The sequence below is a fragment of the Homo sapiens genome, chromosome 4 (genome assembly GCF_000001405.40).
Source record: "Homo sapiens chromosome 4, GRCh38.p14 Primary Assembly".
Lineage (NCBI taxonomy): Eukaryota > Metazoa > Chordata > Mammalia > Primates > Hominidae > Homo > Homo sapiens.
This window is the reverse complement of record NC_000004.12, coordinates 41038908-41063560: the sequence shown is the minus strand read 5'-3', so window position 1 is coordinate 41063560 and position 24653 is coordinate 41038908. Positions and strand designations below refer to the sequence as shown.

The 24653-nt window shown below is 42.5% G+C and overlaps 1 protein-coding gene across 51 annotated transcripts in view; it reads left to right on the top strand.

Moving 5' to 3' along the window:
- APBB2 (amyloid beta precursor protein binding family B member 2) overlaps positions 1 to 24653 on the top strand; it is a 404516-nt gene that overhangs the window by 150982 nt on the left and 228881 nt on the right. For 3 of the 51 annotated variants that reach the window (XM_047450188.1, XM_047450176.1, XM_047450165.1), the window contains exon 1: positions 12509 to 12648. The exons of the other annotated variants lie outside the window; for them this stretch is intronic. The gene's annotated coding sequence lies outside the window, so the exon portion shown is untranslated. Of the gene's footprint in view, positions 1 to 12508; positions 12649 to 24653 lie in introns of those variants that run through there. 51 annotated transcript variants of the gene reach the window in all.

Sequence of the window (24653 nt, the reverse complement as noted above, 5' to 3'; positions counted from 1 at the left end):
ATTCGGACCAACAACCAGCATTAAAGCCAGCAGTGTTGGGGTAAACAGCTCTTCACATATTTTCAGATATTGTTAGCATCTCCAAGGGTGTTACAGATTTACTCTGAAATTATCAATTTTCATAGTGAGCATCATCAGAAAAAAGTTTACACCTGTACCCTGTATAACAGGGATCTGCATACTGTAGCCAATAGGTCAGATCCAGCCCATGCTTATTTTTATAGGAGCTGAGGGTGGTTTTTATATTTTTAAATGGTTACATTTTAAATGGTTATATAAGCACCTACATAATCTCTTTTTTGTCTCTTGGCCCTCAAAGCCTAAAATATCTGTGAGCCTGTTAAGAAAAAATTTGCCCACCCCTATGTAGAAGAAAGTTGAAGGGCATGTACTGCCATTGATCCAAGTGAAATTGTTAGTACTTGAGCATTTTTGACATACAGAAGGTTAATTTCATATGGTTCAAGCTAATATATTTTGAGAACATCGTTCTTTCACAGTGGTTAAAATGCTAACATTTGGGCTCTTGGAGTGGAAGAAGTAAATTTATCTGAAAAATTCACATATGTGGACTTGCTCCTTTTTTCATCTTAGAGAATGACACATTGGCCATCAGCTGAGTGCCTTTCCAGAGATTACCGAAGGGCCCTGAGCTGCAGAGGTGTGTGCTGTCCAGTAATTGCAAGGAAGCTCTTTATTTTCATTTGACTTGTTTCTTACTAAAAGCTCTTTAGGAGAAAACTATCTTCTCCTCACTGGGTGCCAGAAACGTGCTACCTGTGCTCAGCGTAGAGATTGCTGCCCCGAGGCCTCTGCTGAGCTTGTCACTTTGTGCCTTTTTTCTGGTGGAGGGAGAGTGAGTGACTGCTTTTCCGGGGGCACACATCTGCATAACACATTGCCTGAAATGCCCTTCCCTGGAACTAGAGTGTGGTTCGTACCCTCTCATGGTTTCCATCTCTGATTTCTTTTCCCGGTGTTGATCCCTCAGTCCAAGGCATGAACACTGTTACTTATTTTATTTGATTTGTTCTCCATTCCTCCCTTCTGCGTACTCCTTTGTAGCTTGCTTCTCCTGATCATTAAATAAGATTTGGCTGGGTGCTGTAACCCCAGCACTTCGGGAGGCCAAGGTGGGCGGATCACCGGAGGTCAGGAATTCGAGACCAGCCTGGCCAACATGGTAAAGCCCCATTTCTACTAAAAAAAAAAATACAAAAATTAGCTGGGTGTGTTTGAGGGCGCCTGTAATGCCAGCTACGAGAGAGGCTGAGGCAGGAGAATTGCTTGAACCTGGGAGGCGGAGGTTGCAGTGAGCCAGGATTGTGGCATTGCACTCCAGCCTGGGCGACAAGAGCAAAACTCAAAATAATAAATAAATAAATAAATAAATAAATAAATAAGATTTGCTTGTTGAAACCTCAAGCTGACGTTCTGCAGAGGCTACTCATAGCAGAAAGAAATGTTAACCTTAGCAGCCCTTGCTGCCCTCACATAAGGCAGGAAAGCCAATTTGACCTGGGGCCTGCTCACCAGGCCTGTGTCTGAACAGGGCCACAACTGTTCCCTGGAGAAGGGAAACGATTTCAGTAAAAAACAACAGCAACATGCCATAGTTAATAATTTTATCATCAGGTGTGGTCGGAATCATCAGTCAAGGGTCAGCAGTGCATACTGCTGTGCTCTACATTGTTTTTGAGGCTTGTATGTCAGACTGGAGTTTTAATTTTCTTTCTTTCTGTTTTGAGATTATTCTGCCTTTCCAGGCTATCTCCTTTCAGGACAGGGTGCTGCTCTTGGATGGAATGCAGAATGGCATCCATTGAGCACGAAAATAAGAAGTAAATAGCTAGAGCTGTTCTTGCCAGGCTTTTCATACAGATATTTGTGTTTATGTTAAAACTCCAGTTTTAAAATGAGTCATGTGCCACATAACAATGTTTCAATCTATGATGGACTGCATGTACAACAGTAGTCCCATAAGATTATAAGACCCTATTTCTCCTGTACCTTTTCTATGTTTAGATATGTTTAGGTGCCCAAATACTTATCATTGTATCACATTTGCCTGCGGTATTCAGTACAGTAACACGCTGTACAGGTTTGTAGCCTGGGAACACTAGGCTCTGCCATCTAGCCTAGGTGTGTAGTAGGCTGTGCCATCTAGCCTCGGTGTGTAGTAGGCTGTACCATCTAGGTTTGTGTAAGAACACTCCATGGTGATGTTTGCACAGCAATGAAATCGCCCAACGATGCATTTCTCAGAATGTATTTCTGTTGTTCAGCAACACATGACTATATTCCAGGAATTGCTAATAAAAATTGCATATTTGTTCATTTTTGTCTGTACCTATCCATTCCTTTGGATGACTGCAGCCACCACTGCAACTGCAGCTGTGAGGATCTGGACTGTTACAATAGCTTCCAGACCTTGGCCTGCAGTCTCTTTGCCTGCAAACTTAACTCATGCATAGTAGCCAAATGAATCTAACTGAGGCATGGCTCTGACCATGCCGCTTCCCTGCTGAAAATGTTTAGTGTGTCCCCACTAGTTTAAAAGGTCACCCTGGTATTTGAGTCCTTTAGGTTTCCTTTCACTGCTCCTTATTTTTATTACCCATTACTCATGATGAATGATCGTTATTGTTGTTAGTATTATTGCTATTCAGTAGACATTTATAGTAGTCTGTGTGGGCTGCTCCTGCCAGGGTACACCCTGTGCCTTTGGGTCACGTGCCTTTGCTCCTGCTGTTTCCCCTCTGGTATGTGGATCCATCTTTTGGTAACCCGCTAAAATCCTGCTTTTGCCATGGGGTGCAGCAGAGTCGTTCTCTTTCCCAGGGAGTTTTCCTGGTTTCCCTGCTGGAAGCACGTGTTCCTGCAGCTCTTAAATCTCCCTCTTGATGCTTGCTTGTGTCCTAAATTCCTTTTATATTTTGGCACATGTATATAATTTGTCTGAACTCCAGTACTATTTCCCTCCTCTCCTCTGTGAGTGAGGACACTATTATATCTACGGTAGTTGCTCCAGTATTTGTGGAGTCATCTTGGGCTAAGGGGTGGAACTGGATAATAACCATCCTCAGAGCCTGTGCCAGCCACGACTGAGGGGGAGGGAGTAATTGGAGCCTGACGCTGAATAAATGCTTAATAATATATATCGAATGGATGAATGAATGAAGTACTTGCTTAGAAACTTAGCTCAGCATTGATAAGGGGAGAAATTCTTTGCATATTACAAGTTTTTGCAAATCCTGTTTTCCAACACACATGGTTCTCTTTAGCTTTAGTTGTATTCATGGTAACTTTTTCCTGAACAACCGCTATTTACTTTTCTATTTCTAGCTCTTGGGCACAGGTTTTGCCAGTTGTGTCGACTGTCTCTTTTGGTAAATTGTTTCTTGTTTGGTGTTAAGCTTTCACTGTAAGTCTCTTCAGTAGAGGTTGTTTTATGTGGGAGTCCTGTACAACTAGGATTGTGCAAATCCCCCACTTTCTCATTTTCCTCAGTTAGTGCCCCATGGGTGTCCTGGCTTCTGGACCAGTGTTATTGTTATTATTATTATTTTATTTTTTTTTGAGACGGAGTTTTGCTGTTTGTTACATAGGCTGGAGTGGAGTGGCACGATCTTGACTCACTGCAACCTCTGCCTCCCGGTGCGGAGACCAGCTTGGTCGGGGAGACTCTAACCCAGCGGCACTAGAGGAATTAAAGACACACACACAGAAATATAGAGGTGTGAAGTGGGAAATCAGGGGTCTCACAGCCTTCAGAGCTGAGAGCCCCGAACAGAGATTTACCCACATACTTATTAACAGCAAACCAGTCATTAGCATTGTTTCTATAAATAATAAATTAACTAAAAGTATCACTTAAGGGAAATGAAGGGATGGGCCAAATTAAAGAAATAGGTTGGGCTAGTTAACTGCAGCAGGAACATGCCCTTAAGGCATAAATTGCTCATGCTATTGTTTGTGGCTTAAGAACGCCTTTAAGCGGTTTTCCGCCCTGGGCGGGCCAGGTGTTCCTTGCCCTCATTCGCGTAAACCCACAACCTTCCAGCTTGGGCGTTAGGGCCATTGTGAACATGTCACAGTGCTGCCGATATTTTGTTTATGGCCAGTCTTGGGGCCAGTTTATGGCCAGATTTTGGGGGGCTTGCCCCCAACATCCTGGGTTCAAGCAATTCTCCTGTCTCAGCCACCTGAGTAGTTGGGATTACAGGCGCCTGCCACCATGCCTGGCTAATTTTTGTATTTTTAGTAGAGATGGGTTTTCACCATGTTGGCCAGGCTGGTCTCAAACTCCTGACCTCAGGTGATCCGCCTGCCTCGGCCTCCCAAAGTGCTGGGATTATAGGCGTGAGCCACCTCGCCCAGCCTAATGTTATTGTTTTCTTGGCTTGGGGACCTGATGCTTCATGGGTGTTCTGTATTTGGATGCCATACCTCTAGGTGGGAGCCGTTTAAATTTTGATTTCTTGTTGGTGAGATATGACCCTTTGTTCTCCAGGGTTCATCAGGATCTCAGCCCCTACACACTAAGCCTGTCTCATGTTCTGATAGCCTTTTACATCTTCAGAGCTTTAACTTTCTCTCATCTGACTTTAAGTTCTATCTTTGGTTCTGGCCCAGGGATTTATTTCTTGTGATTTTGATTTTTTTCTTAGTATTTTCTTAGTTGTTAATGATCTCTCCCTCAGTTTTTCCACGTGTTTGAAACAGGCAGAGCCCTTCCCTGTCACCTCAGCTCACCATGTTGATTGGAAACTTTATTACCACCATCCTATTAAAGAATTTTAAGATATTTTTGTCACCAAATTGCAATCCCTGATTTCTGCAGAACTTTAGATGTTAAGTATTAATTCAGTGAATGGGTGCTCTGCACATCCCTCTACTGAGATGCCATGAACCTGAGTAACCACATTTTTGTAGTGTAGCATAGTCTTATCCGTGGCTACCTCCTTACTTGTAGATAACTTTCTGTGCATGTCTCAGAGTCCGTCAGTTAGATTCTAGATTTTTACATGGCATGTGAACCCAACCTGTAAAATTGGTGATCTGAGGCCTGTTGACCGCCATTATTTTCAGATACTCATAAATACAGACCTTGTTTTCACATACCTAGTACATAATCTTACATCTTGATGTTGAGACTAGTAAAGAAAGGTTACTTCTATGTATTTATCTTTCACTGAAGAAAGAAATGAAATTTCAATAGTCCAAATTAAGTCCCTTCTTTGTAACTTGCTCTTGCTTTTTTTTTTTTTAAACCTCTCTTGTAATTCGCTACTTCCAGGGTAGAGATTTGCAGTCTTATTTTGTTGTAATAAAAGAGTGTCCTTTTTGTTTGGATGCTCTGGATCTATCACTTTCCCTTTTCCAGCAAATAGAGTGGGACTAAGAAGCCCTGTGACAAGTCTTCACCAGGAGGAATCGGATGCCCTGGAAAGAAGCCTACCTGGTGTCTGCTTTTGTTGCAGAATGAGACTCTGGAAACATGCCAGAATAGTCTTTGGAGGGACTTTAGTCCTTTTTCCCTTCCCTATACTCCACATGAAGAGGATTAGGATGCTGGGGGTAGGTCAGAAAGGGTCCCATGTGTGTGAGAGGACAGGCTTTGCCCCTGAAAAAGATGAGAAGAATGTGTTGTCCTCAGGGCAGGAGGCACAGCACCTCTGCTAAAGGAAGAGCGGGGAGGAAATGCCCCAGCCAGACTTGGGAAGCTTAAGACCTATCTTCTGCGAGCAGCCTCCAGAAGGGAAAGGAGAAACACATGCAACTTTTTATGGGGCCTCATTTTGAAACCAAAGCAAAAGGACTTATTTTTCCAGGTTCTTGGACACTTGCTCATTTATGCAAACCTGAAATTGTCCTCAGGAGAAGTGAACTCTGCTGACCTTCCTTTGCACAAAAGGCCACAAAAATCCGTGCAAGATGAAACCAATAGAATTCTAAACGAATGACTTGGCATATTTATTTCAGAGTCATAAGATAGGTCAGTTTGTTGTTTGCCTCTGTAGCTTCTAGACCTTTCTGTTATGAATATATACTAAGAAAAAGAAAACAGCAACATATACTATTGAACATTGTATTTATTTTTGTTTTTGAGACGGAGTCTTACTCTTGTTGCCCAGGCTGGAGTGCAATAGCGCTATCTCGGCTCACTGTAACCTCTGCCTCCCGAATTCAAGTGATTCTCCTGCCTCAGCCTCCTGAGTAGCTGGGATTACAGGTGCCCACCACCACACCCAGCTAATTTTTGTATTTTTAGTAGAGAGGGGGTTTCACCATTTTGGCCAGGCTGGTCTTGAACTCCTGACCTGAGGTGATCTGCCCGCCTCAGCCTCCCAAAGTGCTGGGATTACAGGCTTGAGACACCGTGCCCTGCCTGAATATTTTATAGATGATGCTTTGTTAAAGGAATATCTAGACTTTTTAGTCTGTCTTTTTTGATTTTATGGAAAATACTTAAGTCCATGGGATTCCATTTGTTTTCTCCCCTGAATTCCTCCCTAGGAGTGTCCAATTTTTGGGAAAGTTGATCCCCCTCTCCCAGAGTACAAGAAAATTCCACAAAGAGCTTATGTTACATATTAGTTATTTGGAACTCAATACCAATAAATCCAACATGACTTGGCTAACTCTGGAAATCAGGCATACCTGCTGCCATCCTATCCTTGTGTCTTGGGCTTAGTTAGGGGTAAAGAGGATTCCTGTTGTTTTTGAACAAGAGATAGTAGCTTTTTGTTTTGAAATCACTGATCCTCACACCGCAGGATCCAGTTTAAGCAAGTAAGCGGGGTGCAGTTTATAAAGACGCTTCCCTTTTTTGAGGGAAAAGGTACAGTTAAGAGGAGATAGGGTGACCAGTGCCAATTAATAGGTAGAGACTGTGTTTGCTATACTCCGAATACTGTGTTGACTTCTCTGGGGTATTGAGAAGAGTTACATATTGCCCTCAATTCTTATATCTCATCTGTGGATGTGACCAAAGGTGGTAACTGTGTCATTTAGAATCAGTTTATGTGATGAAGCAGTTTAGAGGAGGGGAAGGCTGGTAAAGATGTGTGCAGTCAGTAAAGCCCAGGAGAACACAATTTCCAGATCATCTTCCTCCAACAGGACACAATGGTCTGGGGAGGAATGCAATTCAGATCAAGTTGTTGGCAGATCAGGCATGGGAATGCAGGTCTCCTGGGTGGGATTTGAAGGACACATTAAATGGTACATTACGGAGGGATCTGATGAACTGGGATCAAATGAGAAGGGCCTAGGGGAGTGCATATGCCAATAAGAACAAAGAGTATATTCTTAATAAGAAGTTACATTTATTTTACTTATTTTATTTTTTATATTTATTTATTTATTTATTTTTTTGAGATGGAGTTTAGCTCTTGTTGCCCAGGCTGGAGTGCAGTGCCGCGATCTCGGCTCACTGCAACTTCCGCTTCCCAGGTTCAAGTGCTTCTCCTGCCTCAGCCTCCCACAGGCACCTGCCACCATGCCTGGCTAATTTTTTGTATTTTTAGTAGAGACAGGGTTTCACCACATTGGCCAGGCTGGTCTTGAACTCCTGACCTCAGGTGATCCACCCACCTTGGCCTCCCAAAGTGCTGGGATTGCAGGGGTGAGCCACTGCGCCCAGCCAGAAGTTACATTTATTACCATTAAGTTATTAGCCACTTACATAGACACTGTTCTGAGCACTTAATGTGTATACTTTTATTCTTCACTACAACTCTGTTACATAGATGCAACTATTATCACTCAATGACAGGAAACTGAGGCACACAGGAGCTATAGAAGCAACTTACTTAAGCCTACACAGACAATGGTGGAGCTGAGATTTGAACCCAGGCCTTTCAGCTCCAGAGTCTGTGCTTTTAACCACGCTGTGTGCCTGCTTCAGTAGATGAGAGAGGAGTCAGAGGGGTGTGACAACCAAGAAAAGTTGTTGGGGAGAGAGGAAGTTCCAAGGTCAGGATTGCAGTGGAGCGGGTCCTAGAGATGTAGTGTTCATTTGGTGGCCACACGAAAGAGTGGGTGGTATAGAGGGCAGTGACAAGTCAACCTTATCAGGCAAGTCCTGGAACCAGGATGGCGAAAATAACAGTCCAGAGCCCTTACTCCGCGCTGGGCACTGGGAATAGAGCAGTGAAAAGGTAGATGAGGTCTCCGCTCCCATAGCACTTCTATTTGTTCTAGTGATGGAGACAGGTGATAGGAAAGCCTTCCAGTAGAGGAGATAATTGTGGATCATGGTACCTGCTATGGAGGAATGAAGAGTGTGATGGAGGGATACTGGTCACGGCCCACATGATGTTGGGTGACCAGGGAAGGTGTCCCTGAAGAAGCAGTGCTTGAGCTGCAATCTGAAGCATGGGGAAAGCCCAGTCTATGAAGAGCTGGGAAAAGCCCATTACAGACCAAGGGGTATGGACTGTTTAAGGAATGGCAAGGAGCCAGGGTGGCCAGAGCATAGCAAGTGTGGTGGGACCTGGTGGGAGATGAGGTTGGAGAAGGCGGCCTGGTCAAATCAGAGTGGAGGGCCTTGGTAAGGAGTTTCAGCTGTTTCCTAAGAGTAGTGGGGAGCCACTGAAGGTTCAGTAGGTGCAGGGCATCTAGGGTGCTAAATGGATGTGCCTGTTTGATCGGGAGGGGCAGGGAGGTGGCGAGAGCAGCATGCAGACAGCACATTTAGGAGGCTTCTCCCCCGTATGGTAGCTTAAAGGTTTCCATGGCTTTTCTGCCTGGGGAATAGCGAGCTGCACCTCAAAGCTTCTCAGTGGTCAAGTTGTGATCAGAGTTCACAGCAACAAGACTTCACACCCACCTTTTAGCCATTGACTGCCCATTTATACTTTATATAGAGAGAAGAACCAAGGTATATGAACTTAAAAGATTAAGCAATTTTTATTTGTTTGTTGTTATAGGTATGGGAATTTTTAAAACAGTTACTTTATAGGTAGTGGATGCTTTTGATATTGGCAGCAGAAAACCCTTCATTGGATGATTTTCTCCTTCCCAAGATGGAGACTCAAAATGGAGACACAATTAATTGCCCACTCACTGCCCATATCCTGTTCCATTGTTGCTCATAGGGCTATAGTTTAATTCAGGGTGGTGTGGAGATCAGCCTCGACAGTAAATTGTGATGATTAAGCCAATATACCAGTCCTGAACCCTGATTTTCCAGCATTCCTTGTAGCAAGTGTGGCCCTGTGACCTACTTCTGGCCAGTGAGACCTGAGAATAAGTCCACTGGGATGGGAGTGAGGTTGCTGGGAAAGCATTTATTGTCTCTATAAAGCCTGACAACTGAGCTTGTCAGTACCCTCCCTTGCTTTCCCATTCTTTCTGCCTTGAATGCTGATAAGATGCCTGGATGTACAGCAGCCTTCATGTCACCATGAGGTGACAAGCATGAAGGAAAGTCCAAGAGCCTCAGAGATACCTGCCCTGAGGTTGTTTTCAAGCCAACACCTGCAGCCCTGGGCCTTCCAACTCCTTTCTTTTTGTTGAATCCACTGTTAGGTAGGTTTTCTGTTACTTAAAGCTGAATGGACTGTTAAATTAAGCAGATATGAAGACGCAGATGTTATGAGCCTTTTCCTCATTATTGTGACAGCCTTATACATGTCCTTGATATTCAGTATGACCTTTATCTTGTGTGAAAACAGTCTTTGAAAAGAAAGCTCTAACTTATATTAAAAGTTGTTCACAGTTCAAAGTGATGAGTTGTGGAGTTGTGGACTTGGAAATGTAATTTTCAAAATAAATGAACTCCTCTGTGTGAACTTGCTGTAGCAAGTACCGTGGAGATATACTTCATGGGCAGTATCTTCCTTATGGCCTTTTTTATGATACTCTTAGTTTTCTGGTGAACTATATTGTGTGTATTTATGGCTTTATAGGAAACTATAGCAGTACTGGGGTAATAGCATAAATAGTCTGATTTCTTGAAAATGTTAAGCTCCAACAGGCTTTATTGGATTTCAGGGTAATGGTATTATTAAATTTTTTGCCACTTTTCAAACTTCTTGTGGCTGAGTTCCAAGCTGCTGCTTTTAAGAAATTTGGGGGCTGGTTCTGTTCATTTATAGAAAAAAGTTATCCTGGAATTTTCTATTGCTAAATTGAGGGGTAGGGAGAAATAATTTAACTTTTTTTTTTTTTAACTGCCTTGGATTTGGGTATAACACTCAGGATTACTTTCCACATGGAAGGTAGAAATGGCTTTGCAATATGTATCATGGAGATAATATAAGGTATGAAATGAAAATTGTCGTCTCTAGTTTATTGGGAAAAAAACTAGAAGTCATAGGGTCATCAAATTGTAAAGAGAAAAGAATTTTGCACATCATATAGTAAAATTTCACTTTTTTCCCTAGCCTTGGAAACTTGAGACCTGGAATGCTTTCAGTTATTCATTTAAAAAATAAAAATATGTGCAGTTACCCTATGTATCCTCTTCTTTAATGAAAAATTTTTCCAGCTGGGCACGGTGGCCTACGCCTGTAATCCCAGCACTTTGGAAGGCCAAGGCGGGTGGATCAGTTGAGGTCAGGAGTTTGAGACCAGCCTGGCCAACATGGTGAAACCCCGTCACTACCAAAAATATAAAAAATTGGCCCAGTGCAGTGGCTGGTGCCTGTAATCCCAGCTACTCAGGAGGCTGAGGCAGAAGAATCGCTTGAACCCAGGAGGCAGAGGTTGCAAGCCGAGATCACGCCACTGCACTCCAGCTGGGTGACAGAGTGAGACTGTCTCAAAAAAAAAAAAAAGAAGAAAGAAAGAAAGAAAAATTGTCCCAAAGGAACGAGAAACACTGTATAACCCCAAGAACCTTGACAAGAAGGCTTTTTAAGTCACTTGTTTCAACTACCTCATTTTACCGAGAGGAAGGGTTACTGCTTTAAGGTAGACCAGCCAATTAGCCCTTGGGCAGGTAGGAACAGGACCACAGAAACTGTTAGGTGTGTTAACATCCTCAGTGCTGTTGCTGGAATTCACGATGGCAGTATCTTATGTGGGATCAGTGCTTGATCTTGTCTACGAGAGCTGTGAGGGTTTGACAGACACTGATATGACACGGCATCCCAGGCAGAACAAATGGAAGAGGCTTGTGAGTGGGAGATGTTCAGTAACTTCAGTATAGAGTGAGGCACTGGTGTGGTGCCCTGCTTGGGATCAGGTAGGAGAAGAACGGCTTATGTCCATGCAGATTAGGGACAAGTTGGGGTTAGTTTGACCCATTTGGGACAGAATATAGAGGGTCATAAGAGCCTATCAGTGAAGTGAGATTTTGTTTTGGTATGTATGTATGTATGTATGTATGTATGTATGTATTTTTGTACAGACAAGGTCTTGCTATGTTGCCCAGGCTGATCTCCAACTCCTGTCCTCCAGTGATCCTCCTTCCTCAGCCTCTAAACGTGCTGGGATTACAGGCATGACCTACCATGCCTGGCCCAAGTGAGATTTTATTTGGTAACCAGTGAAAAGCTTTAAGAATATTCATGTTGGTGACAGTTAACACTTACACAGCAATTACTGTGTGCCATCACCATTCTGAGTGCTTTACACACACTCTCCTATTTAATTCCCACAACAGACATTTGGTATAGATATTCTCATTATCTCCATTTTACAGTGGAGGAAACGGAGGTTAGCTGACTTACCTAAAGAGACACTCAAAGGAAGCAGTGGAGATGGAATTCAAACCGGGGTGGCCCAGCTCCAGGGTCCTGGCTGTTGATAGCTTGGAGCGTGTATATGTGGTGGTGATAAAGGTGGTAGATGCTCTTAGGAAGGCAGCTCTGCGGGAGAGTACAGTTGGATTGGCATGAGGGCAGACAGGTAATGAGAATATCGACTGTAGGCCTTCGGGACGGTTAATAAGAGCCTGGCCTAGAGGCGACCGTGGAAATGAAAGGATGAGAATTCACATGTTACTAGCTTCAGAGGATGGATTAGTGCCAGGTTTCTGACTGGTCATGGGGCAAGGAAGGGATGGAGTCAGAAATGTCTGGGATATTGCTTGAATGTCCACCTAACCCAGTTAGGGAAGTTGAGAGAAGATTTGGTGGGAGAGTGATGATTTATTTTTACAGAGCCCTGTTTTCCTACTTTGTGACCAACTAGTGCAGTGGTTCTTAACCTGGGACTCTGGGGAAAACTGTCTAGAAAAGAGATCCATGTAAGTGTGTCCTAACAGATTTCTGTGAGTTTTTGGAGTCTGCCAAGCTCACATGTTGTTTTAGCATGGCCTTGGGCCCACAGAAGGTCTCCAGTGTTTTGAGGCAGTTTGTGGCTGAGGCACTTAGAATTCTATGGTGGCTTGTCCCCTTCCCAGCTTAAGAATCTGTGGGTGTGAGCTCAGGAGGAGGGGATGGGTGTGTGTCTGCATTTTAGAGACCCGCCTTTGTTTTAGCTTCCCTGGCCCTGATTCCTGACTTCCGCTTTCCTTCCTGCCCTTAAGTTCTGTTGAGGAAAGCAGGAGACTGTAGCTGGAGATAGAGGAGGTCCTTGGTGTTTCTTTGTGAACTTGCATCCTGTGTCGAGGGAAACACCCTGTTCCTGGTGGTGGCCTCCGGGCTCAACTCTTCCTGCTGCCGCCTTTCTGAGAAATGTGACCCTGGCCAGGTATGTCTTCTTGGAGGCTTCTAAATGCAGGTCCCAGCTGAAGGGCTGAGAAGGAACAGCAGGTTGTTCCAGGATAAGTAGCTGATACCTTTGTGGAAAAAAATCCTGACGTGGATGAGAGAACGTAGAGCTTGACAATTTGGACTTCTGTTTCATGACCATTTCTCCCTTTCTCTTTCCTTCCTCTTCTCCTTCCATTCCTTCTCCCTCCCTCTTCCTTATTTCTTATTAGAAGAGTTGCTAATTGTGCATGGTTAGTAACTGTGACTGTACCTATTTTTATCTTCGACTATGGTTTTCAGGCTTGATTTTCCAGGGAAAGGTAACATTGGCAACTTGCAGGTGACGTGTGGAATTTGTAGGAATGGCTACATAGGAAAGATGAAGGGAACTAGAAGTCTTGGCTACCCCTGTCCTCCAACCCCTTAAAACCCTCTGGAAAAACAATATGCATGTGTGAATTTGAATCCTACTTCAGTCACCAGCAGAATGTCCATGCGTGTGCCAGTTCCCTAATCTCTCATCTGTAAAATGGGGATGGTGATATTTACTTCTTTCCCAAAGGGTGTTGTGACACACAAATGAGGCAGCATATGTGAAGGAATTCTAAGCATCTCTCTTATCTCCTTGTTCCTGTCTAATTAAAAGTTTCTGTATTGTACCTTGGAATGATCCCAGAAATACTAGGAGGGAGGGAGAATCTAAGTGCTATATTAAATTGCTTTTTGTATGTTTATTCCATTTCTACATAGTAACCATGTGAGGTAAATATTTTTATTTTTATTTTTATTTTTTTTTATTGATCATTCTTGGGTGTTTCTCGCAGAGGGGGATTTGGCAGGGTCATAGGACAATAGTGGAGGGAAGGTCAGCAGATAAACAAGTGAACACAGGTCTCTGGTTTTCCTAGGCAGAGGACCCTGTGGCCTTCCGCAGTGTTTGTGTCCCTGGGTACTTGAGATTAGGGAGTGGTGATGACTCTTAACGAGCATGCTGCCTTCAAGCATCTGTTTAACAAAGCACATCTTGCACCACCCTTAATCCATTTAACCCTGAGTGGACATAGCACATGTTTCAGAGAGCACCGGGTTGGGGGTAAGGCATCCCAAGGCAGAAGAATTTTTCTTAGTACAGAACAAAATGGAGTCTCCCATGTCTACTTCTCTCTACACAGACACAGCAACAATCTGATTTCTGTATCTTTTCCCCACATTTCCCCCTTTTCTATTAGACAAAACCGCCATCGTCATCATGGCCCGTTCTCAATGAGCTGTTGGGTACACCTCCCAGACGGGGTGGTGGCCGGGCAGAGGGGCTCCTCACTTACCAGAAGGGGCGGTTGGGCAGAGGCGCCCCCCACCTCCCTCCCGGACGGGGCGGCTGGCCGGGCGGGGGCTGGCCCCCACCTCCCTCCCGGACGGGGCGGCTGGCCGGGCGGGGGCTGCCCCCCACCTCCCTCGCGGAGGGGTTGGCTGGCCGGGCGGGGCTGTCCCCCATCTCCTTCCCGGAGGGGAGGGCTGGCTGGGCGGGGGCTGACCCCCCACCTCCCGGACGGGGCGGCTGCCGGTCGGAGACGCTCCTCACTTCTCCGACGGGGCGGCTGCCGGGCAGAGGGGCTCCTCACTTCTCCGACGGGGCGGCCGGGCAGAGACGCTCCTCACCTCCCAGACGGGGTCGCGGCTGGGCAGAGGCGCTCCTCACATCCCAGACGGGGCGGCGGGGCAGAGGCGCTCCCCACATCTCAGACGATGGGCGGCCGGGCAGAGGGGCTCCTCACATCTCAGACGATGGGCGGCCAGGCAGAGACGCTCCTCACTTCCCAGACGGGGTGGCGGCCGGGCAGAGGCTGCAATCTCGGCACTTTGGGAGGCCAAGGCAGGCTGCTGGGAGGTGGATGTTGTAGCTAGCCGAGATCACGCCACTGCACTCCAGCCTGGGTAACATTGAGCACTGAGTGAACGAGACTCCGTCTGCAATCCCGGCACCGAGGCTGGTAGATCACTCACGGTTAGGAGCTGGAGACCAGCCCGGCCAACACAGCGAAACCCTGTCTCCACCAAAAAAATACGAAAACTAGTCCGGCGTGGCAGCGCGCGCCTGCAATCGCAGGCACTCTGCAGGCTGAGGCAGGAGAATCAGGCAGGGAGGTTGCAGTGAGCCGAGTTGGCAGCAGTACAGTCCAGCTTCCGCTCGGCATCAGAGGGAGACCGTGGAAGGAGAGGGAGAGGGAGACCGTAGGGGAGACGGGAGGGAGAGGGAGGGGGAGGGGGAGGGATAGGGAGAGGGAGAATATTTTTATTTTTTGAGAGGAGAGAACTGAGGTTCAGAGAGGTTTAAAACAAAATAGCTTCACCACCTGCTACATATGTGGCAGTTATTTACTATCTTGCTGCCTGTTATGACATCTATAAAATGAGGATAATAATAGTTTTCTCTCCATGGAGTGGTTATAAGGATTGAAGTGGTTAATATATATGAAGTCTTAACACATAATGCCTGGTAAATAGTGTGATTGATATATTAGCAGTTACGGGGTGAGTGTCTCTTATACAAGATGTTTGCGACCAGAAGTATTTTGGATTTCATATTTTTGTTTTTGGATTTTGCAGTGTTTGCATTATACTTAGCAGTTGAACATCCCAAACCCAAAACTCCAAAATCTGAAATGCTCCAAAATTTAAACTTTTGGAGCACTGACATGATTCTCAAAGGAAATGCTCATTGGAGCCTTTTGGATTTCAGATTTTTGGATTTGGGATGCTCAACTGGTGTTATCATTAAGAAAACTGCCAAATGTCTTCTAGGCCACTGTTTGGTGAAATCTGGATTGGCTCATATGTATAATATGTTGAAATGGGATTTCACTATAATTTTCTAAACTAAGAGTGGATTTGGTTTTTGTGCAGAAGGATTGAGGAAGTGATGTTAGACATATCACAAAAACTTAAAAGAGATTTAGAGAATGTGGGGAAAAGAGGAGAGATCCAGGGATAATTAGGAGGCAGGTCCAAAGGTAAGCTCTGTGTTGCTGCTGAGATGTGGTTGAAGAGAAACCATGAGTTGGTTCCTTGGTTATGATACTTAACCTTCTCTTGGAACCATCAGATCAGAGATAGATAAACTCAGCAAATGAGGTCTTTGGAGTCGCCATGTTACCAGCTTCATCCCACTTTCTACTTCCTGGAAGAGACAGTGGAGTAGAATGTTAAACTAAGGATTCTGGGATCGTTAGACCAGGATTGGAGCCTGGGCTCTGCTGCTTTTCAACGTCCCAATGTTATGCAAGTTTGTTAACCTTGCTACAGCTTGGTGTCCTTCTGTGTGAAACAAGGAGCATCATGGTGCCAGCATTCTAGGATTTATGTGAGAAATGAAAGGGATCATGAACACTCTTTGTATTTAGCCCAAAGGAAGCCCTCAACAAATGTTAGATACTTAATATTACCTGGAGCCCTATCCCTGTGGGCTTTGGTTAGGCCCCATAGGCAAGCCACAAGTGGCAATATTTGGGGGCAGTACCCTTTCTGTATAAATCCTGACTATAACAATAAAAGACTTGTACCTCCTGTCCCTGTTTCAGTTAACAATCTCTGGCATAGAATCTTTGAGTTTCCTTTGAGATACTTTTATCTGCCTCTCTTTTCTCTCAAAAAGCACCTTAGACCTTATAGGAGAACAGAAATGGAGTATCGAGTACCTTACAGTTGGAGTAGAACAGAAATTTTTTCATCTTCTACTGAGTTCAAAATACCTCATTCCCCTTACTCCAGTTTTTAATTTGCTGCACAGTAGGACCTTTATATCTAGCAATGGAGCTACTTAAACAAAATTACATTATAAACCAACAATTTTGCAATTCTGTTCTGTGCTATACAGAGATTTTCCTCTTTATCTCAACTGTTCTCACTACCAAGGCAGGCTAGGGGAATGAATGATGAGTTTTTCTAAGAAAAATTAACAGGTGACAAAATTGAACCAGGTTCATCAGAATCACAGATCAAGAACACAAATCCCATGTGTCCTGACTCCCCACTCCAGTGCTCTTTCAGAAAGGCCGTGTTACCCCTCAGCCTTCCTTCCCACCCCTGTGAATAGAGCCTGCCAGGGTGTTGCATGCTGCCTGGGAGGCAGCTGCCCTTGGGACGGCTTCCCTTGCTGATGTAGACCTTACCAAATGACCTGTGTCAGCCTCATGGGGAACCGTGAGATCCTTTAAAAAAAATCATGCATTCTTCTTCAGAGGAAAAAAATCTTCCTTGGCCCATTTAGCAAGATCCTTGCTCCTTAGTTTCCTTTAATTATCTTGATTTTTTTTTTTAAACTGGAGAAGACCATCTGCTTTATGAGGCAGTTCATCTCTTATGTTTTCTCTAATAGGTCTTTGAAGGCCCAGTTAAGCATATTAAGGCTTCATCTCATTCTTGTTTGGGATCATTTTGTTTGGTGATTTTAAGTCACTGCCACTGGCATCTCTTGGTTGTATATTTGAGATACCTTGCAGTGTAGATTTTACGAAGAGATGTTATCTTTGTTCCATGAATTGCAGGCTCTGTGAGCCATTTTCCATATAGTGCCAAACTATCACAACAGGATTCTTTGCTTTTTAAATTCCTTCCTCTCACTACAAGAAGTCCTATTAACATGTTTTCTGAGCTATAGAGTAAAATCTGTCAAATATAGCATGGAAAGCAGATGGGTGGTTGCTGTCATCCTTTTCACAAACTCTAAACCTAGTCTTTCTTAGTAAAACTCAGCTTTGTCACCTTCTTTTACCCCAGAGTTTTCATTTACGAATAGAAGACGTATGTGAGGGAGAGGGCACTTCTTTATTGTTTTTTTAAAGATATATGGTATCTATATACCCAGCTTCATATACAAACCTTTTTTTAAAAATTAAAAATCTTTGTCTCTGAATATAAAAATGTTTCATGCTCATTATTAAAAAAAACTTAGAAAAATAGCAACTTATAAAACATCAGAAGGCCATTTTCTAAATCCTGTCACCCGGAGATTACCACTATGAACATTTTGATGAACTCTTCTATTCATTCCTTTAGCAGTGATTTCTTGAACATCTGCTATGTGCCAGGCACTAGGAATATGCTAATGAATGAAACGGACATAGTCTCTGTCCTCATACAGGGAGCGAGAGAAAGACATTAAATAAATTATAGAAATTATATAAATAAGACATTTTATAAAAGTACAGAACATTAACAAAGTTAGATCCCATACAAACTTTTTAAGAAAGAAATAGAGTAAAATCCCTACTGACAATGAAAACATACCAGAAGACACGCTCAATTAGAAATGATTAAGACTGCCAGGCACGGTGGCTCACACCTGTAATCCCAGCACTTTGGGAGGCTGAGGCGGGTGGATCACGAGGTCAGGAGATTGAGGCTATCCTGGCTAACGCGGTGAAACCCCGTCTCTACTAAAAATACAAAAATTAGCTGGGCTTGGTGGTGGGTGCCTGTAGTCCCAGCTACTTGGTAGGCTGAGTCAGGAGAATGGCGTGAACATGGGAGGCGGAGCTTGCAGTGAGCCGAGATCACGCCACTGCACTCCAGCCTGGGCAACAGAGCGAGACTCCATCTCAAAAAAACAAAACAAAACAAAAAAATGATTAAAATCATAATATTCTATTTCAAAATAATTAAAAGAGATTATTACAAAATTATACAGGAGATGAAAGAGCAGCGTAAGTCTGAATTAGCAAAACTCAGAGACAAGGAGACAGAACTCAAGAAAGAATTAGAAATTAAAAAAAATCATCTTAGAAATAAATTCAAAATTGGAAGGAGCACAAAATCAACTAAATACTACAAATACTGACCTAAGAGAAATAGAAGGTGAAAAGGAGGAAAAAGTTAAAAATCCAAAGGAAATGAAGAAAGAAGTAAAATTTGGGAAAAGTTGACAAATAATGAAGATAGACAAAGCAGATCCAACATACAGGTAATAGGAGAGGAGAAAAATAAAGCAAAGAGGTGGTGCAAATGATACATTTTAAGACAAGTTTTCTGGAAAAAAATTGAAACTACTTTTTGAAAGAAAAAATCATGTATTTTAGAATATCACCTTAGAACAACCCATACCAAGATATTCTAATAAAACTATTGGGTTAAAAAGAAGAAAGAAAAAGAAAAAGTCCTTTGGGCATCTAGACAAAAAAGGGAAAAACAGTAATAGAGAATTAGATTGTTCTTAGACTTTTTGACGGAAACTCTTACGCTGAAAGAAAAGTCATACCTAAGGTATTCAAAGGAAACAAAATGTGAGCCAGTATTTTTATATCTAGCAAAATTGACCTTCAGACATAAAGAACACAAACTTATGAACATGCAAAAAAATCAGTGGAGGAAATATTGCTCCTCATGAGCTCCTCCTAAGGAACCTTCTACAGAGTGAGCTTCAAACAACAAAAATAACTGGAAAGATGTAAGATGAGCTTGGGACATCTCAAGATAATAAATAGGTAACAAGGAAGCTATCAAAGATTATTAGGGCATGTCAGAATGACTTAGGAGCCAACTTGAAGAGGCTCCTACTGGCCAAAAATAAAATTGCAAATATGTTTAAATCCATGAGATTATGATATTAAAAAAAATATTGGTTCTGCAGTATGAAGAAAAGGTTAATGGAGCACCATTTCATCATCTTGAAAGTAGTTAGGAAAGAATCAGCTTCTTTCTTACATGAACTGTACCACTGGAAAACCAAGTGGTAGATGAAGGAAAGCATCTCCTAAAATTTTTCCACCCAGTAGATGAAAATGAAATTAAATAATTGGAATGTCACTGTTTTCCAACCCCTGTGGATTTAGTGGATTTAGGCATTGAATAACAATGGCTGCTAACATTAGAAATGAATGAAAACCAGATACCATGTGCTTCCTGATGAAAGATCATACCACCACAGACTGAATTTCAATCTGTTCAAGCCTCTGAATCTAGCTCCAATTTGCAGGCAATTCAGAGGTTGGAGAAACGAGTTAAACATGCACCACCAAAATTCATACTGTGGAAACTCCATAACTCAGACAGCCCAGACTCTTTCAACAAATAAGTTGTAAGGAAAAGAAAAGGATAGAGGCGATGTAGATTAAATAACTTAAAAGACATCAAAATTTTAAAAATAGACAGCACTAATGGTGACTAGGATTATACACTCGGGTAACAGAATCATAAAGAAATGCCAGGAACTGATTACCATAAATTCAAGAGTTTGTTTACTTTGGAGGAAGGGAAGGGCATGGAGGGCCTTCTAGGGTAACAAGCAAAAGCTGTGTTTTGATTAAGATGGTAGTTATGGGTGTTTTCTTTGTAGTAAGCTATTTGTTTTGTGTGGTTTTCTTCATCTGTGTTTTATTTTACCATAAAAAGATTTTAAAATATTTTTATGAAAGAATGACACTATACATACTGCCTTTCTCCCAACTTTTATTATGAGAAGTTTCAAACAGAAAAATTGAAAGCATTGTGTAGGCAATACCTATATACTCATCATACTGTTTTACAGTTAGTTTTTTTCATTTAGTGTTATTTAGTAAATATCTTTCTGTGCAATTAAATATAGAAGCAGCCTCACTTTTAAGTGATGCATAGTATTCCATTGTAGGATGTGATCCTTTATTTAATCAGTTTCCTAATGATGGACATTTAACTTGTTTTTGATTTTTTTCTAATAGAAATAATACTGCTTATTTGTCCTTATGATAAATACCTAAAATTTGCTTTGTCACAGCATATTCTAATATGCAAAGTATAAATGCTGATGTGCTGTGAATGAACAGTTAGCAGTAGAGACTAAAGATGCAGCCTGTATTAATCAAGACAGCCCTGTGTAACCTAGGGAGAACATAAACCTCAAAGAAAAAAATAAAAAATAGATTCCCCCCGCAGGATCCTCACATAGCATTATACCTTTCTTGGATCAGTTTAGGTTTCATCCCACAGCTCTTCTACAATCTCATTTGGTTGTTGTGGCTATAACTAGTGTATCAATTGTGTATTGCCACAATTAATGCTGCATAATGAAGCACCCCAAAATTCAGTGGCTTAAACAATAGCCATTAGTATTTTTGGGATGGCTGAGTGGTTCTTCTCATAGTCTCTGCTGAGCTCACTCATGTGGCTACAGTCAGCTGCAGGGGTAGTAGACAGATCTGCTGATCTTTGCAGTGTTCTTTCATGTGTTTGATGGTTGGCTGGCTTAGGGTGGTCAAAAATGGCCTGACCAAGAAGATTCAGCCATCCTACCCAAGTCTCCCAACACCCTTCCAACAGGCCTAGGCATATTCTTATGGCAGTAGCACAGATCCTGTCTTTTTCAGGGGAGCAGAAATGGGTCCATACATTCTGAGCTTCTGTGTCATCCCATTTGCTAACATCCAGTTGGCCAAAACAACACAGTTGAGACCAGAGCCAGGGGAAAGGGATTGCAAGGTTACGGAGTAGAGGGCAAGGATGCAGAGACGCTGTTGATTGGGGTCATTAACTTAGTCCTCTATAGTTGTCCAATAGCATATTTTAAATTGGCACATCTTAGAAGCATTAAACATTGCAGTTATTTCTAAATTGCAGATGTTAATGCCTTTGGAATATGAAAGTTGGGGATCAGGCCGGGCACGGTGGCTCACGCCTGTAATCCTAGCACTTTGGGAGGCTGAGGCAGGCAGATCATGAGATCAGGAGATGAAGACCATCCTGGCCAACATAGTGAAACCCCATCTCTACTAAAAATACAAAATTTAGCCAGGTGTGGTGGTGCGCACCTGTAGTCCCAGCTACTCAGGAGGCTGAGGCAGGAGAATCGGTTGAATGCAGGAGGCGGAGGCTGCAGTTAGCTGAGATCACGCCACTGCACTCCAGCCTGGGTGACAGAGTGAGACTGCCTCAAAAAAATAAAAAAAAAGAAAGTTGGAGATCAGGTATATTTGTGGGGGAAGCATAAAGCTTTTGCTTCATTGAAAAAATTTCTGATTAAGTGTTATAAAGATAACTCTTAAATGGAAAAATCTACATTTAATGTTATATCTTGAAAATATTTCTTTTCCAGTTGTTGGTGTTTTCCCCTGGGATACATTTCAGAAAATAGGCTTTTTTTCTGTCTGTGCATATTTTTCTTTGTTTGATAGTGTTCTTGGAACTGGTTTTGAAATCTCACTTGGAGAACACAGAATGGAGTAAGATAAAGAGCTAGGATCATAAATCAATGTCCTTAAGTATTTTTGCGAAAGATAAAGAAATTGGTGATAGGATTAGTTCTTGGACCTTTATTGCCACAACTTTTTTCTCTCTGTTTTAGACTATATAAGTGGTAAATTAAGGATCTCTCAATGCTGTGATTTTTAACAGCAGGTATGCAGTGACCAGCTATGTGAATGGCAAAAAAATTATTACCAGTAACGGTTAATGTTCCAAAAATGTAAGAAATTCAAGTTTATTCCCATAGAGTACAATGTTATATGCCAATTCAGTGTGTACACTTCTGTGCAGAAATAAAAATATTGGAATGAAATTTTGCATTCCATATACTTATTAAATACTCTTCATTATGCATGCATTACAAGACTATACACATTTTACTTGTTTAACTGAAACTGTGTGTATTGTACTAAGCAGGCAATTTAAAGGATTTTTTTTTAAATAGTTGACTGTTATTGAATTTTGCTTTATTTTCTGACTTTAAAACCCACCCCCAGAGTGAGTTAAAATTTCACACATGTAGCCGGGCATGGTGGATCACACCTGTAATCCCAGCACTTTGGGAGGCCAAGGTGGGGGAATCACAAGATCAGGAGATCGAGACCATCCTGGCTAACACGGTGAAACCCTGTCTCTACTAAAAATACAAAAAATCAGCCGGGTGTGGTGGTGGGCGCTTGTAGTCCCAGCTGCTCGAGAGGCTGAGGCAGGAGAATGGCGTGAACTCGGGAGGCGGAGCTTGCAGTGAGCCGAGATTGCGACACTGCACTCCAGCCTGGGCGACAGAGCGAGACTCCATCTCAAAAAAAAATAAAAAAATAAAAAATTTGCAGATGTTCTCAAGTGTGCTTTATTTTGCTTTTCTCAGCTGCAAGCAACAAGAGGACTCAGGTTTTGCCTACCAGCAGTTGAGAGGCCCCTTTTTTTTAGTTGCCATGTATATGAGGATGTTGGACACAAACTTCAAAAGAACCCTAGTAATGTGGTGAGAATTGTCTTGTGGCATTAATTAATTTAGGCTATTTGAGTCAACTTGGAGAGAAGAGTTCCAAAAAACATGGTGTAATGATTTTGAGCCTCTTTTTTAGAGGTGAACAGCTGGTACCAGCTCCATCACTTGCCTCTGGTGGGATCTTTGGCATGTTACCTAACCCTCTGTGCTTCAGTTTCTTAATCTGTAAAACTGACATAATAACCATATCTTTTTCATAGGGTTGCTGGAGGTGATCAGTTAGATAATCCTTACAAAGTACCTACTTAGCACAATGCCTGGCACATAATAAGCATTCAATAAATGTTATATAGCGTTAGTGCTGGAAGGACCCGAGTCATCTGATAGAAGTACTTCGCTTTATAGATCTGGAAATAAGGCTTAGTTCTCCGGGGGAAAATGTTTAAAACCTTAAAGTAAGAGGGAATCGGTATGTTTTTGTAGATAGATCTAAGCCTGGAATGCAATGTCTACTTTAAAAGTATTCATCACTAAAATAATCCTGTAGATTTTCGAGAGCAAGCATCTGCCGACAGTTTTTTTGACAGCCCTTCCTCTGCTTGGCAGGTTACAATGATGATTTCACTAATGTCAGAAAGACAATTTTCTATATAATTATAGTTTTTAGCTCCATTCTTGGACTCAGCCTACTATTTGTGAACGTTTTCACAAGAAATCAGGATGGGGCAGAAAAAGAATACAGAAGATGTGAACTACAAAAATTTATTGGGCACTTACTTATGCCAGGTATACAAAGATCTCCAGGACATTGCTTTTTGGTCCAGAAAGCTTACAGCCTAGTTGAGGAAACAAGTATGGGTGAGAAAAAAATAACAACAGCAATAATAGCAGTGAGTATTTTTTTTTTTTTTTTGAGACAAGGTCTCACACCTTGTTTCACAACTCACTGCAGCACTGAACTCCTGGGCTCAACCAATCCTCTTGCTTCAGCCTCTCAAGTAACTAGGACTACAGGCATGTGCCACCATGCCCAGTTAATTTTTAAATTTTTTGTGGAGATGAGGGTCTCACTATGTTGCCCAGGCTGGTCTTGAATTCTTGGCCTCAAGCAATCCGCCTGCCTAGGCCTTTGAAAGTGCCGGGATTTACAAGTGTGGACCACTGCATCTGGCCTTAATTAGCACTTATTGAATGCTTAAGATGTGCTAGACACTAAGCAAAACAAGCAGCCTATGATACCCCATTCTGTTGTCATAGTAACTGTCAGATCGATGGTTACCACAATTTACAGTCCAACAAGACAGTTGAATAGGCTTCCAGACATTAAGTATTGGTTCAGGATCATACAGGATTTAAGTGTCAAATAAGTTAAAAGGAAGAGATAACTCTGGGCCAAGGTCATAATTTTCAAAGTTGGGGTTTGGGGGTGGCTAGAACTCCCACTAGGTGAGTGTGGAAGGGGTCCACTACTTGAATTTTTCAGGTGGAGACCAGGGATGATAAATGTCTTGCAGTCCTTAGGACTACCCTGTACAACAAAGATTGTCTTATTCTGCAAAGCTTTTAAATACCCTAGCAAATATTCATGTAGTTAAATAACATTTTTATATAATTATCTGACCCTGGAAATTCTAAACATGGTTTTAATATATACTATGTATTCCAGAAATGAAAGCTCCTTCTCATTTAAAAACAAGTGTATTTAACATTTTTTGGAATATTCCAAAGAGTTGTTCAGCATTTTGCAATTGATGTTATTGGCAGCAGTGCAAATCATGTCTGAGTTGTCAATACAACACATACCTCTTTCAGTCTGCATTTATAGCTATTGCACTAACAAT